The 16,861-nt window shown below is 33.1% G+C and overlaps 2 long non-coding RNA genes across 6 annotated transcripts in view; one reads left to right on the top strand and one right to left on the bottom strand.

Annotated features, from left to right (window-relative positions):
• The window catches only part of LINC02945 (long intergenic non-protein coding RNA 2945), a 308,805-nt gene that overhangs the window by 175,297 nt on the left and 116,647 nt on the right, over window positions 1-16,861 (top strand). The gene's annotated exons all lie outside the window — the stretch shown is intronic.
• Window positions 13,278-16,861, bottom strand: part of LOC105377369 (uncharacterized) — a 77,408-nt gene continuing 73,824 nt past the window's right edge. For both annotated transcript variants that reach the window (XR_939077.3, XR_939076.3), the window contains exon 4: window positions 13,278-13,548. This is a non-coding gene — a long non-coding RNA (uncharacterized LOC105377369). The remainder of the gene's footprint in view (window positions 13,549-16,861) is intronic.

Raw genomic sequence — 16,861 nt, 5'->3', positions numbered from 1 at the left:
TTATTCAAAAGAATTTGCTGTTACTCATTTTTTCTTAATATATAGTTGCTAAATCTTTTTGGTGTTTTCTATTTCTCTGTTTTTTTCATATTTGTATATGTATGCTTTACAATCCTAGGATCAATTTTAGAAATCAATTTTTATATTTATCTAATATTTTAGGATGGCTAACAATACATTGACTTAATCTTTTTATTAGGATTCCATGTGAACTCTGTTTATGAGAAATAGTTGTTTTCTATATTTTCTGTCTTCTTTGTGTTTCAGTCAATGCTGTGAGCATTGCTTAAGATAACTCAATTAATTTTAATTATATTTCTAATAAAGGCAATGTTTTTTAATTCTAAAATTTTAGGTTACAAAGTTTGGAGTCATTCTAAACCACTGTTGAGATACTCTCCAATGTGCATAAAACCTATCCTGTCATATATATTTCTTAATTCATTGTTATGTGGTGGTTTAATTAAGATGCTTAATTAAGCTTCAGAGATAAGAATTAATCTTGTCAACATTTCTGGTTATGAGCAAGCTGCTTGCTCATTTTTCTTGTAGTTTTGAAAGAGCACAGCATAAATACTGGAAAATATCATCTTTGTTCCTTTTAATTACTAAACTGAAATCCCAAAGCGTTACTGTTTCAAACAAAAACTAAAATGCATGCAAATCTCAGAAGGCATATTTTGGTGTAGTGGATAACTACCACTTTGCTATATTTTTATGTTTTAAAGTATATATATATATATAAAATATATATTGTATGTATGTAATGACATTGGTGAGAATATTAGAATGACTTAAAAAATAAAAAACAATGAATGTGTGATTAGTTTCGTGAAGAAAATATTAAAAATATCTCATGTATAGCAGTAATTAATTTGATCCCCTTTTTTAATGAAAAACTAATGGTTGCAGATTATACAATAAATATTTTAAAATATGTTTTCACAGCTGGTAGTTTTAAATGACCATTTAAAAATTGTAATAATTATTCCTTCTTTGTTACCATCGTGACTTCATCAGATTAATCGTTTTCTTCGTATTAAGTCACATTTTTAAGGAAGAGTAACTAACTTTTCTTGAGAAACTTGAAAATGCAGCAAACACTGATAACCTTGGTTATAATGGTGCTTTCATTAAATGTGTCAACCTGGCATTGTCATTTTAGTCCAAATTGAGTCCATTTGATTTAATTTGAAGATTGAAGGGCAAGAAATGTGAACTTCTCTGTAAGTAGCCCCTCTCTTTCTTCTACCAGGAAGCCTTTCCAGGAAACCTTGTTGAACTTCCAGTCTCTCCGTATCCCTAACTCTTCTTGGCCAGGCACTCTTCAATGCGCTCCCACAGTGCCCTGCATTTAACTCTTGCCTAACTTCTATAACACTATAGTCCTGTATTGTCATTGCCTGTTTATCACTCTCGCCTTTCCCTTCCAGCAGATGAAGTGCAAGAGCATGTCTCATATTACTGCAAAAATTAACATAGTAAATGGCACATGTTAGCATCCAATAATTATTAATGAATCCATCAGAAGTCTATAGAATCTGGCTGCATATACACAGTTGTCTTCAAAACAAGCCCACAAATGAGGCGATTACTCTTGTAAGCACCATTTTTATATACTCACATTTATGTATGTAGAAACTTGAATTTTTATATGCTCAAATTTATATATGTAGAAACTTGAATTTTTTTTCCCCTGAAACTAGCAATGTCAGTTGAAAATCTTTTTATTCATAATTTGGTTTTTGGTAACTTAAAATGCAGTTATTTTCTTCCACAGTAGTATATTGATACATTTCTTTGATATTCCATTTAGAAGTTGATCAAATTTAAAAAGTAATATATTTTTTTATAAAGGTAAATAGCTTGTATTATTAATTTGTCAATATAATTTTGCCATGAGTAATCATTTTTATGTGAGATTTTGGGAGATACAATGAGTAGTATTGTCATAGTAGTTTATGAATGAATGGAAATACGTTGCAAAAACTGTCCATTTGGTTTTATGCTTTCAGTAATGTGGATTATTTTCTCAGCACTGTAATAAAATCATCTGAAATCCATTAAAATCCACCTGGAGCCTGTGAAATTCACAAACAGAAGTAATTTAATCCCTTCATGGCATGACAGAGCAAAAGGAAATCTTACATGGTGCCAGCGATTAAAATCCCAACCCACTAGTCTTCTCAGTCACTTGGTCTCTTCTTCATTTATTCCTATCTTTGTAGATGAGACCCTTGAGACTTAGGTTTAATTCTCACCAGTTTTAACATGACCCCAAAATGCCACAGAAAAATGCCTCATCCATTGCTAAATTGATTTTCTCTTAGTCACTTATTTGTATGTTTAAGAGATTATCCAAGGAACCTACAAGGGTGTTTTTTTTCCTCTCAAAAATCTGCTATTCACAAGGTCTGTGAATATCTTAAGTTACTTCCTTTACCACCTTGCCACATCCTCTTACAAACTTTTATTGTCTTGGGCTCTGCAGTCAATTATCCTGTTTGAGACTGATGAATAAGAGCTATTCATAGATCTCTCACTAACCCAGTGGATTAAGAGTCTCTCTGGGTATTTCCAGTACTAAAACATTAGACTGTATAGAACAACAATTACTTGATATTTTGAGAAAAAAAAATTATTTTTAGTTATACATATACTCAGATAGCTGTGATGTCTTTGAACATTATATTATTTTCTCCCTCTTAAAAATATTAAAAATCTTGCTTCTTGGAATAGGGAATTTGAAAATTAAAAAAAGAAAAACTGTCAAAAATATGAAAAATAGGAATTTTATTTTGGTATGATTTAAGGTAATATAGGAGGAAGACTCATGCAAGCAAACCATGAAATGCAAAGATACACAATGAAGATTGACTTAGACATTCTTCTGCAGGGAAAAACAATTTGCAATAAATAGTGGGTTATAATTAGTATTAAAGTGAGCACTCTTGTTAGTAGAATGAACTCTATGATGATCCTAGACTTTAGATACTGAAGTGTGGAACCTAAATGTTGGGCTTTATATTCATCAATCAAATGTTTATTGAGTGCCTAATAAATGTCAGGCCCTGTAATGTCCTGAGGATATTGTGGTGAACAAACAGTTCCTGCTCTCACAGAGCTCAGGTTCTCACAGAAAAGACCGACATCGCAAGTGTTGAGCATGGAATTATACTTGTAGTTCAAAGATTAGAAGTGAAGTTGGGAATGGCATCCATGGTTTGCAAGAATAACTACATGATAGCTCATTTTTTTTGCTATATTTTTTCCCCTTGAAATATCAGTTTCTTTTTTTTCTGTAAATCCCTTATCAATTAATTTCTATTGACACAAAGTAAAATCTCATTCAATTGGGACATAGTTTATTTATTCTATTACTATTGTTATTAATATTCTGCAAAAGATACTTTTTAAACATTTGAATATAAATTATATTTTAAAATTATGCACAGGAAATATTTTGGTATGACTTACTGGTTACATATATTATTTTTCAATTTTTCTCATTGTCCTATTACTCTATATTTATTTTTAAATTTTTTCAAATATCACTAATCTGAAAAGTTAGATAAATATTTAATTTTCGTTATGATTTGTCTATTTAAGTGATAATGAGATTTTGAAGACTGTAGAAAGAATAAACCAGAGGGATGGCAATGCAAACACAAAAAGCCTGTTATAGAGAAAAATTTGATTTAAATAATCTGGAAACATTTCTTTTTCCTTGAATTAGCATGTTCAAAGAAAAAAAAAAGAAGGAATGAGACATGTCTGATTCTATTATACATGTTTACACAATCTCTGAAGGGCTATATTGGGCATTTATCTGTCCATAAATGCTACAAATAAGAAAAAAATAGATGTTAAAATAAATATGAATAATATTAAATGACCAGTTATGACATCAAACTAATGAGCACTATAATCTATTGGAATTTATTATAAAGTCTTATCTTTTGCACAAAGTGTTGGGATATATTTGAATCTGCATCTAAGTGGTAATACTTGATTTGTTTTGGAGATTAATACATTGACATAAAATATGATTATGATTTTATTAAAAATGCTGGTTTAATTGGCCTTTGCAAATGTCTTTTAAGGATAATGCAAAACCATTTATTCTTTATTATTGACATGTATAGAATAAAGCATAAGCAAAGTGAACATATCCTTCATTTGCTGGAATACCCCAGTTTACACCTGCTGTAGATCAATTAATGGCACTTAATTATTTCAGCCCCACTTCACTCTCAACAATGTCCCAGTTTGGACAGAAATACATCTTCACTTGAGTAAAAGGTTCAAGAGTTTAATTTTGTCTAGACAACTAAATTAAAGAAAAAAAATCATTACTTTTTTCACAAAAATTTAAACCTAATTTAAAACATTTTGAAAAAGTAACAAAGATCACAAAATCTACATATAATTTTCCAGAGCTGGATCTTGAGTAGTAATTAATTCCTGGGACAAAATGAAGATTTTACTTTTAATTCCTTAAGCCATAATATTCGGTTCCAATTTGCTAGGTTTTATAAAGTTTTGAAGGGCCACCTTAGAGTTTCTAAATATGGGTTTAGGAGTAGTCCTACTATTGGTAACAATTAACATTTTAATCAGCGTATAGTACCAGACACCATTCTAAGAGCTTTTTGTACATGATTTTTATCTAATCCTCACGGTAACATGATGAAGGAGGTACTATTATTCTCTATTTTACAGCTGAGGAGACTGAAACTTAGAGTAGTTAAGTGATTTGTGTCCTTCCTACCTTCTGCTTTGCTGAACAATTGACTAGATAGCTATGTTCCAAGTCAGCAGGATAAAATAGGTCCATCTCTCCTACCAGTGAATGTAACATTAGTATTTGCTTCCTAACTCATGAGATGTTCAGTAACTTCTGAGATTCCATATTGTTATATGTGGGAAGATTGCCATAGAAGATGTAGTCTATACATTCCTTGAGATAATCTAAATTTTACTCTGGGATCAAGCCACATCATCAGGCATACCTACTTGGATAACATTGCTTGGGAGCATTAAAAAATGTGCCTCCTCTGAGCTAGGTTCTGGTGTTATTCCCTGAGTTTTCTTCTAGGGCAATTTGAGTAGGTGCTCCATTTTTTGTTTATTTATTATTATTTTTAGAATACTCTTTTTTTTTCTCATAATGTCCACCAGATTTTAGAGCTAGGAGAAGCCAAGTGTCTTCTGAGTTGTTGATATGTCTTTTATTTTATGGGCACTGTGTATTTTGTTCCTGATAATGTCGTTTTCTTTCTTCGATTTCCAGAAAATCAGAGCCAAATGTCTGATTTACTTTTTGCTGTTAGACAACATTTTCAATGCACATTTCTTATGCTGACTTTAACCCTGGCTATCTTTTCTTTCTCTGTCATTAATGGCAAGAGCATGGATCTAGAATTAGACCACTAGGGTTCAAATCTCATCCTAGTTGCTGTTCAATTTTTTATCTTGGGCAAGTTAGTTAGCCTCTCTCAGCTTTCTCTCCTGTAATAGAGGAGGGTAACAATAGAGAGACCTCATAAGGTCATAGGAAAATTAAATGAAATAATACATGCAGAAATCTTTGAACACTCCCTGGCACATAATGTAGGTGTGTATTACTATTATATAATTACATTGTCATTTGTAAACTACTCAAATCCTTTTTATATTGAGGCTTAACATAAATAAATGTTAAAATGTTGCCTTGCTCCGTATGTAGTAGGAAAACAAAAACATACTTTGGCCAAATTGAAGTATATGTTAGACTGAGACTACAAATCACAAAAGATAGATTTTGGTTACCTTGTTTTGCCTATTTTCAGAAAATATTTAGAGAATTTAGGCAAAACCCAGAGAACTTGTGTAGATGAATAGTTTTTAAAAATATGTAAATGATACTCGGCAAATTTGAGAAACTGGTTAAATAAATGTAAACTTCTGATTCTGCTAAGATAGAAATAGAAGAATCTATCAAATAGGTAAATGTAAACCTAAATAAAAGAAAACAAATATATAAAATAAATATGAAATTTTGCCGATACTTTACCTTTTCAGGAAATGAAAGTATTTTCTGTTCCATTGTGTGGGAGGAAGCACTTGAGTTTCAACCACAAAAGCAAGCATGTACAGGCAACCAAACACATGCAGAGATGGTTGGCCAGGCCTCATTTCTGCAACAAGCTCATGAAAGATGGGTTAACTAGGTTAATACTGTAGCCTACGAAAAACTCATTGAGGGTAACTAGCTTTTGTGGGGACATTGCATGTATCATTTCCTTTTATTTCTTAATAAAAGGAATACTGTAGTCTACGAAAAGCTGTTAATACTGTAGCCTATGGAAAACTCATTGAGGGTAATTAGCTTTTGTGGGGAGATTGCATGTATCATTTCCTTTTATTTCTTCAAAGTTTGACCAAGCTATACAATAAGATGACATTTTCTGTTGAAGCTTGGAACTAACATTAAATTACAGATAAAAGTTATTTTCATCTTCAATTTATCTGAGTTTTATTATTATCAAGACCCTTTGCATTATGCTTAAGCATGGTTATTTACTTATTTTATTAAAAAAATTTTTAAAAAGTTTATTGATGGAATCTCGCTCTGTTGCCCAGACTAGAGCGCAGTGGTGTGATTGTAGTTCACTGCAGTCTTGAATTCTGGGGCCCAAGCTATAGTTGTGTGCCACTGCACCTGGCTTGTTTGTTTTTATATTGTTAAGGTTAATCCTGGCCTGTATTTTTTCATTTTATTATCCATAAATACCAAAATTATAGTGGTCATCATTGCTATTTTGAATACCACCCAGGTTACAACTTGGACCATAGAATATATTAATGAAAAGGTCCAGGGGAAAGGATTTTAAGAGGAGGATCCTTCAAAGTGGAGCCTTCGATTTACTGAAATAATAGAAAGAAAAGATCAAATTGTGTAATAAGTGCTTGAAGTTAACTTGTAGGTTGTGAGAGGAGAAGACAGTGTGTGATTAGCAGACTTAGAGGGTTAGGATGCATCTAGCACTATGTTAGAAGGTAAAGTTAGAGTGATAGGAGAACTGGAGAGAAAAAAGGTATTTAATGTGTTATATAAGTGGTAGACAAGATGCAGACTACTCTTGAAACAGGATCAATCTTCTTCTCAGCAATCCTAGAGTCAAAAACAAGTAATCAGCAGCTATCTAAGGTTTAATCAGTCCAGATTTAAATGAGGAAAGGTCATCAACATAGCTCTGGCAGTATAATACTGATACTCTCTAGTTTGGTATCACTTTATGAAACCAAATCCATAATTAAGAGACCATAAGGTCAATAGATCCTCTGGTCTATACCCCAAGCTCATGCAGGTATATAAGAACAAGTGAAATTGTTAGATTTACATGGATCCCTGGGTAGTTCTAAGGAAGGAAAAAGAAGACAGCCCAAGAATGTATGTGATTTCAATTCCTGGGTTTAAAAGTAATATTATCATGCTACTTTTATTTTTCCTCTGAAATGCTATATTTTGACATTTATAATAATAAAGGTAAATATTTACTAAAAACTTATTTTTTAATAGGCACTTTAATATTTCATTTATTTTAATCCATATAAAATGCTGTGATTTATTTTCTTCAATGAATGAATGGGAAAAGTGAGAGTCAGAGAAATTACATGACTTTTCCAGGTTCTGTAATCATTAAGTACAAAAATATTATAAGGTTTTTTATAAACTACATTTACAGAATTGAAGACATGGAATAGATTGAAATATAAATCTTATAACTTGATCAAATATTTACTCAACACTGAATGAGTCCATCAAACCAATACACACTTGCTTTATGAAGCTACTTCACTCAAGGCTCCTTCTTAATTCAAATAATTTCAGATAATATAATTGAGATTTTCACATTGAGTAGATACCTTAAAACTGTTAGTGATATCTGAATATTGGTGGTAAATGGAGAGCTAATGGAGAGCTAATCTCTGCTTTTATACTGGACTAGCTTACATTAAAGATCTGCTATCAGTGCATATTGGCACATTTATTCATATAGAAATAGTAATGTATGTTTGTATTCTTTACTGTTGAAATCAGAAGAAACAATGAACAAAATTGTTTCTGTCCTAAAAGATTAAATTGAACCTGATAATGTTTTATCTTCAGAAAAACTTTAACACTTTAAAGATGGGGTTTTAATGGGGAAAGGACTCTATATTCAATAAATGGGGCTGGGATAAATGACTGGCCATAGGCAAAAAAATGAAATTGGACTCCTACCTTTCACCATATACAAAAATTAACTCAAAATGGATTAAAGATATAAATTTAAGACCAAGAACTACAAGAATCCCAGAAGAAAACCTAGAAAATACCAATCTGGACATTGGTATGGGAAAGAGTTTATGACTAAGTCCTCCAAAGCAATTGCAACAAAAACAAAAATTGACAAGTGGGACCTAATTAAGAGCTTCTGCACAGCAAAAACAAACAAAAAAGACACACACACAAAAGCTATTGACAGACAACCTACAGAATGGGAGAAAGGATTTGAAACTATGCATCTGACAAAGGTCTATTTTCCAGAATCCATAAGGAACTTAAAAAATTCAGCAAGCAAAAAACAAATAGCCCCATTAAAAAATTGGCAAAGGATACAAACAGACACTTCCCAAAAGAAGACATACAAGTGGCCAACAAACATGAGGAAATGCTCATCATTACTAATTATCAGTAAAATGCAAATCAAAACCATAATGAGATACCATCTGACACCAGTCAGAATGCCTATTATTAAAAAGTCAAAAAAAAAAAAAACCATATTGGCAAGGCTGTGGAGAAAAGGTAACGTTTATACACTGTTGGTGGGAATGTAAATTAGTTCAGCCACTGTGAAAAGCAGTTTAGAGATTTCTCAGACAACTTAAAATTGAACTACCGTTTGATCCTGCAATCCCGTTACTGGGTATATACCCAAGGAAAACAAATCATTCTACCAAAAAGACACATGCACTTGTATGTTTATGGACTATTCACAATAGGAAAGACATGGAAACAACCTAGATGCCCATCAACAGTGGCTTGGATAAAGAAAATGTGGCACACATACATCATGAAAAACTATGCAGCCATAAAAGAGAATAAAATCATGTCCTTTGCAGCAACATGAATGCAGCTGGAGGCCATTATACTAAGCAAATTAACACAGAAATAGAAAACCAAGTACTGCATGTTCTTATTTATAAGTCAGAGCTAACCACTGAGTTCACATGGACATAAAGATAGCAACAATAGACAGTGGGGACTACTAGAGGGGAGAGAGGGAGGGGCAAGGGGCTGAAAAACTACCTATTGGGTACTATGATCAGTACCTAGATGACAGGATTATTTGTTCTCCAAACCTCAGTGTCACACAATACACCCAAGGAACAAACCTGCACGTGTACTCTCTGAATCTAAAATAAAAGTTGAAATTATAAAAGGAACATAAAGATGGGCTTTTACAAATTGTCAGGAGGTAAATAGGGGATAAGTGAACCAATTAGAAAATACTTGTGGTACAACTAGGTATTGATGACCTTTATGTTTTTGCAATACGATATAAGACAACAAAGCAGGTCTTACCTGGTTAGGCCAATTATATATGTGTGTTTTTTGCTGTTGATGATGATAAACTTACTGATTTTAATTGTCCTTTATTTTCTTCATATTTAGAAAACATCAATGTGGTCTTTTATCATTTTTCCTACATGGATTATCACAGGCGTATATGAAGAATGAAAAAAGTTGTTATTTGAAGGAGGATTAGGCATTGGTAGTATCTTCTGCCTTTCTGTAAAATTTAAATACATATAATTTTAATTATATTTTAAAGAAAATTTCTTCTTTTAGTCTAAAATTTGGATCCAATGGCCTTGTGTACCACAGAATAATACAAAAACACTAGTTCACAGTTTGTAGCTTAATAAAACTTAATAAAACTAAAATGGTCTCAGCTAGTTCTTATGAAATATTTATAAACATAAGTTCTATGAAACTATTTCAGACTAATATTTGATATAGTTTGTTTTTCCAGCCCACAATTTAGAGATATCTTTGACCTTTTGTCCTGAAGTATTTGCTGGACTTGACCATGTCATGTGCAAAAGATGTAGCTCACAGGCAAAACTAGACCTGGCAAAATTAAGTAGTCAGGATTTGTCTCTGGGAACAGGGAGAATTATTATCCCCAACAGAAGAATAAACACTTTCATAAGGATCAAAGTTGTCAACTAGAGGGATAAAATTCTGGTAACGAAATTTCAGACAATTGGCTCACAAATGAGAGAATTTTTGTGTAGGTGGAGCCTCACCTCTTTCCTGAAGCCATGAAATCCCTTCAAGATTTTGACTGGCTCTGCTTATTTAGTTACCATTTTTTATAGGTTTTTAAATTCAGTTTATAGAGATTATACCTTAATTCCAGTGTGGGTGGTGATGTGTACTGGGCAAATGAGGGCTGCCATTTTTGTCTTTTAGCGAATATAGATCAGTTTGTAAGATCTATCTTATGAACCTCTAAAGAGGAACAGGAAATCACAGCATTTGTCAGAAAACCCATTTTCAGTGGAATAAATACTTCATATTTATCATTTCTTATTGTCTTTGACTTGCCTACTTGTATCTTGGTGGCACTCAGGTTCAATTATTGCTTTATATTTGGTAGTGTAGCTGCTAGCATATTTCAAGCAGAATGTAAAGATAATAAAGTTAACTCTGGATTATTAAAGCTCACGAAGAAGAGAAATATCACAAAGTGATTCTCTACAGACAATTCTTTATTTTCATACTCCATTAACTTCTTTCTTCTGAATCTTTTATTATAGTACCTGTTAAATGTTAAAACAAACATTTGAAATCTAAGGCATGTTTGAATCTCTCTTGCTCTTTTAAATGACTAAAATCAATCTTGGCTTTCCTTAGAAAAGCAAATGCAGACATTAGTTAAGATCAGTCATATATCATGGGATATAAATTACCAATTTCTATTACATAAGAGTTCAGGAACATTCACTCAGCCTATTTGCCACTTCTTCCCATGCTTTTTCAGAGACCATTGGTGGATCTTAATTGAGAAAACATTTAACTTCATTTATTGAAAGGATATAAAATAAAGCCACCTAAGATAAAAAAAGATGAAATTATTGAGTGTTCAATGCTACTGGGCTATTCTTATTTAACCAAATTCTGGGTTATTCAATTTTTCATGCTGTGGTTTGTGAGTTAAACAGTTCAGTCACTTCTATCTCTTCTTTCAGATGCATTTCAATGATTATTTTCTAATACATTTTAGGCTATTGCTGTCAATGATGAAATGAATTATATCTGTTGACTTTGATATTAGTTAATATGGGACTTAAAAAGTAGGCCTTTACAGGCAATACATGAATGAGTATAAAATTGAAGGGATAATTAATCCATATGTATACTTCAAGTTGATAGTAAACATAAAATGCATTTGCTTACTTGGATAATTATTGACTTCATATAGTTTCACAAGAAAATAGAGCAATGATAGCACTTTTCTTGTGAAAGTATGTGATAAACTTTGACACTTTTCAGAATTAAAACAAAAAAAATTGGATGTTCATGTAGAGTTGGCATCATGGCAAGCTAAAATCACATTCAAGCTGAAAGTTTTGGGGGAGCAGAGATGCCTTGAAAAAGCAGAGGAAAATGGACCAGAGAATCAGAGCTGAGAGATCTGCCAGACAAGGACCCAGGAAAGGACCATCAGCTTTACTTCCTCACTTTCCAGATGGAATGCCCTCATGTGGCCAAGCCGTACATTTTTTTCTTTTCTGTGTTATCTACAAAATTTTGTTTTATCTTTAATGAGCCCCATTTTCACTTGAGTTGATTTGAGTGAAAATGATTCCTGATTGAGACCTTGAGGCATCCATGTTTAAAATCAACACATCTTTTACTCCACCAGAACTCTCAGTGCCCTCATTCTTACAGTCACCCAGGTCACAGACCTTTGCATGGTCTTCAACTCATTTCTCACTCTTATTATCTATAGTCAGTCATACATGTGTGTAGTATACTTCTCGGTTACTATGCACCACAACCTCAGTGATGGTATTTCTTATGGTTCCCTGACTCACATCCTTCATTCATATAAAAATTTAACTGATGTACAGATATCTCAAATATATTTCTGCCTTTTTGCCTTAGTAACTATTACTTTCCTGTTCTTCCTCCTTTTTTGTTTATTTTAGATTTTTCCTTTTTTTCCAGGCCAGTTTAAATATCACTTTCTCTATGATTTTTTATTTATAGTGGCTCAAAAATGTGTCTTTTCTTTGAATACTTAGTTTACTTGTCTGAAAGCTCTTAGTTAACAATATTTAAGATAAGATCTCCTTAGGAATAAAGATAAAATTATTAGTTTAATTCTGTTCAACAAAATTTACTGAGCATCAGCTATTTGCCAGGCACTATGCGAATTGCTGAGACATATAGGACAATAAATGATTCATTTCTCCAAGAAATAGAGATTGAATTCCTAAAATATGCTACATCTTATTTTAGGTAGTAGTCTCTGCTCTCCTGGAGCTTAAATTCCAGTGGAGGTGAAAAATTACACTGATGTTACTTCGTGTATGCTAATGATGCCTCTTCAAGTAAATTGTAAACCCCATAAAAGGAAGAAACTGACTGGTCTTCCTTATTTCCTGAATGCCTCCTCATTCTTCTCATGAGTGCTTATTTGTGGAAACTCCATAGCCTAAATTCTCAGTTCTACTCTCTCTTTTTCATATTCTTCACTAGTAAATTCAGATGACTTTTATTATTGCACAGTGCCCTGTTTCTAATGGCTATGTATTGTGTTCTGAACATGAATTCCATGTCCAAGTCCCTACTCAGCAGTCACTAAAATTCAACATACCTAAACATAAACTCATGCCCTCCCACCGCATGTTCTTTCCTCGTTTTAACTCTTCGTGGCGCCACCTCTTCAGTCCCCAGGCTTGAAACTATCCAGTCATCTTTGACTCATCCTTCGTCTGCTTCAGTCCTTGCATCTAATTAGTTACAAAATTATGTTGATTCGTTCTTTTGACTCATGATCACATTGACCACTCCAGATTAGGTCTTCATCATTTCATACTTGAACCATTAGATTAGTTTCCCAACTGTACCCTTATTGTCATCATGTACTCTCTCCAAATCTTCCTGCCATAAAAGAAACGTCTTTGAATACTTCCATTTATCATCCTTCTTCCAGTTCAAAAATTCTATAAGGAAGTCTCATTTCTTATTACATCAAATCTAATTTTTCGTGAGTTTCCAGGCACTCTCTAACTTGGTCCCAATCTGCCTGTTGACCTTTGTTTTCCTCCACACTCAACATGAACTCTTCTTCTTCAGTCAGGCTATCTTCACATATGCCCTGCTCATTCTCATGACTTTTCTCCGGAAGTACTAGAATATAGAGGTTAAGAGCATGGCTTGGGAGCCAAACAGACCAGGGATGGAATTCAGCTCCTGCTTAGGTCATTTCCCAAGTCCGTGACCTAGGGCAAAAAAAAAAAAAAAAAAAAAAAGAAAAAGAAAAAGAAAAAAAAGTTTTCTAAGCCTGTTTCCTAATAGGAAGTATTTAACTTAGTATCTATTGTGAGAAGTAAAAGATAATGTAGTTTAAGTGCTCATTGTCTGATAAAATCATGTGCTTAAAAATGTCTTTGTAGGTATTTTTAATGTAACTATTGTTTTTCCCCTTCTGGCAGGCATTTCTTCTGTCCCCTCACCTAGCTTACCTGATGCCACTTTTTTTTTTTTTTTTTTTTTTTTTTTGAGACGGAATCTCACTCTGTCGCCCAGGTTGCAGTGCAGTGGCGCAATCTCAGCTCACTGCAACCTCTGCCTCCCGGGTTCAAGGGATTCTCCTGCTTCAGCCTCCGGAATAGCTGGGATTACAGGTATGCGCCACCATGCCTGGCTAATTTTTGTATTTTTGGTAGAGACAGCGTTTCACCATGTTGGTCAGGCTGGTCTCGAACTCCTGATCTTATGATCCGCCCACCTCGACCTCCCAAAGTGCTGGGATTACAGGTGTGAGCCACCGCGCCCAGCCCCTGGTCCCACTTTTAAGGCTTTGCTTAAAGCTCTCTGTCCCTGTGAAGTCTTAAACAACTTACATGTGCTTTCTCTGAATTTCTAAAGAACAAACAAACTACATAAAAAATTGGGGGTATGAATTACATATTAAGAGGGTGAACATGAAGGGGGATATGGGAATCCAGGAGGCTTGGAATCAAACCCACTCTTTCAATAATTAGCTTGAGGCCAGAGGCAAAATCATTCTGCATCTCAATTTTCTCATCTTTAAAATGGAAAAATTACCAACTTTTCCTACTTTATAAGGCTGTTGGAGGATCAAATGAATTTATCTCAGAAATTGTCCAAGATTATTACAAGTCTGGATTTTCACTGCATATTTAAAGATTGGTTCTGAGGATATTTTGGTAAAGAATGGACGTTGATTTGTGGGGTGTTTATAGGTTTTTAGAAAAAATATTGTATATAAAACCCAATTTATTAAAGGTGTTGTTGAACAAATATATTACTTTAGGACAAGATGAAAATGACTAATTATGAAGAAATATAGTCTTCTAAATTCATTTAGATATGTAATGCAATAATCATGTTTTGTCTAGTTCCTTGAGAACCATACTTCCAGAAAGGATAGGGGCTTAAAACAAACAAGTTAACTCACTTTTGTTATTCTCAGTGCTCTGTGATAATTGCAGAGAAATTTATTATGTCTTCTTGAGTGATTTTCAGAGTTTTCAAAAAGTGTGAAGAAGATACTATGAACAAACACTGATTAGTAATGTTTACGTATTTTTCTAATTTTGAAGTCTAACTTTTCCCTATCCTTAAGCTGTCTAACTTTATTTTTAGTTTGCCTGAAGCCTACAGACCCTTTTCCAAGGGAAACTTATTACTAAAATGGCCTCATATGTAAGGTAACCTCTCTGTTAACCCCACCCAGGCTAATTGGCGTCATTAAAGGTGGAAAGAAGGAATGCTAGCCACAGGGAGTTGCCCATTTTCTATGATTCATAAGAGCCACTAGGGTGAAATTTAGAGGGAATCCACTCCTATTTAAATGACAGGTTCTCACTCTTAGACAATTATTTTTTAGTACACAAGTTTTTTTTTTTTTTTTAAATCTGGCCACACCCCTTAAGAAAACAAAAAAAAAATACGTCAAGCCATCACCATTGCATCTTCAGTCTTATTCATTCACAGTTTCATTAACCGCAGACACAATGAAGAAATAAGAGTAATTCAAGGTGGTAGTTAGCTAAGTTCTTTTGTTTAGCCTCAAATCTGGGAATTTTGAAGATGTAAATGTGTGTAGTAGAAATCAAGATGATTTTTCCCCAAAGAAACAACTTTAAATTTCCAGGAGTTCACCCCTGCAATCACCTGTGTTTTGATACTTTTGGAATAAATAGTATTCCGAAGTTAGAGTAATCCATGTAGGAACACTTGGGGGCTATCACACTCTCCAAACCGACCATTAATAGTGCATGCACTGCTTTAGCTTCTTTGGTAACTAGAAGAACTAATAATAATAATAGGCCAAATGTGCCACTAAAATCTCTGATCAGAATCCTTGGGCAAGTAAGTGAAAGCAGTGAACATAGCAGCAAAAAATAATTTGACCTAAAAGGTGTGGTTTATACAGAATTTTAAGCACGTTGGCTGTTACCTTGATGTTGAAACTTATCCTCATGCTTCATGTATCTGAATTGTGCAGCTCAGAAAGTCTTCAAATTACTTCTTAAACTTTACTGTTTTTTTCAGTGAAGACTTGGGTTTAAATGAAATTCTAAATGAAAATGACCTTATAGTAATGTGTTTATATTCTTGCTTTAAGGTCCACATTTGAAGTTTACTAATGTAAGAATTTTTGAAAAATGAGACTTTACTTTCCAAGTTTCTTTTTTTTTTCTGGATAATTCTTCCTCAGTGGATTTCCAGGCTTATGTTCCAATAACAGAGTGATGGTTATGTCATTTTCTGGTTTGTTTGTTTGTTTTTTAATTAGTCTCTACCCCTCATAGTTTTTCTATCAGTTTATTTCAAAATCAGATTTTAAAATATATTTATTTGACTATTAATTTTTTCTGAAAATAATTACATTTAACAGTGAAAATTCATTAACTTCTAATTGAATTTAATTATTTACTAGAAAACATGGCTTAAATTTTTTTTATTTAATCGGCAGTATTCCCTTGTGAATTGTGGAAAGTCAAGCTGTAAAAGAAAAAGCAAAGAACCTCTTTGTAAGACTCTCTATCAAACTATTACTTTGACTTAAAGTTCTCTTTTTTGTTCTGCCTCAACTCAAAATTCATGAGTAAATCTTTTTCATGTTCTTTTTTTTACAATAAAAAAAGGACAAATACAGGTCTTTTGAAAAATGACAGGTTTAAGAAGGTAGAAGAATTCAGCAGTGAATGTGGGTTGTGGTGTTAGACATGGGTAATAAAAACAGTATTTTCAACATGGCAGCTGGGTGAAGAGTCGCAGTTTTGGGGGGCCAAAGAGGAAAAAATGAAATTGTAGAAATAACATGAATCGAGGGTCACATATGTAAGTGAATTTGGAAATTTTACTCACCTCCCAAAGAATATTCCAAAAATTTGTTCCTACAAGTGGCCCATTACAGAAAAAAATATGAGAATTGTTGACTGAAATCACTGCTATTACACAAATTGTCTAATTTTCATGCAGCTCCAAATAAAGTTGTATGAATAAAAGTGATATTACAACATTTTGTGTTGGGCTGGCTCATTCTCATTTTTCATGATA

The sequence above is a fragment of the Homo sapiens genome, chromosome 4 (genome assembly GCF_000001405.40).
Source record: "Homo sapiens chromosome 4, GRCh38.p14 Primary Assembly".
NCBI classification, from domain to species: Eukaryota; Metazoa; Chordata; class Mammalia; order Primates; family Hominidae; genus Homo; species Homo sapiens.
The sequence above is the reverse complement of the archived record's forward strand: the minus strand, read 5'-3'. Positions and strand labels throughout refer to the sequence as shown.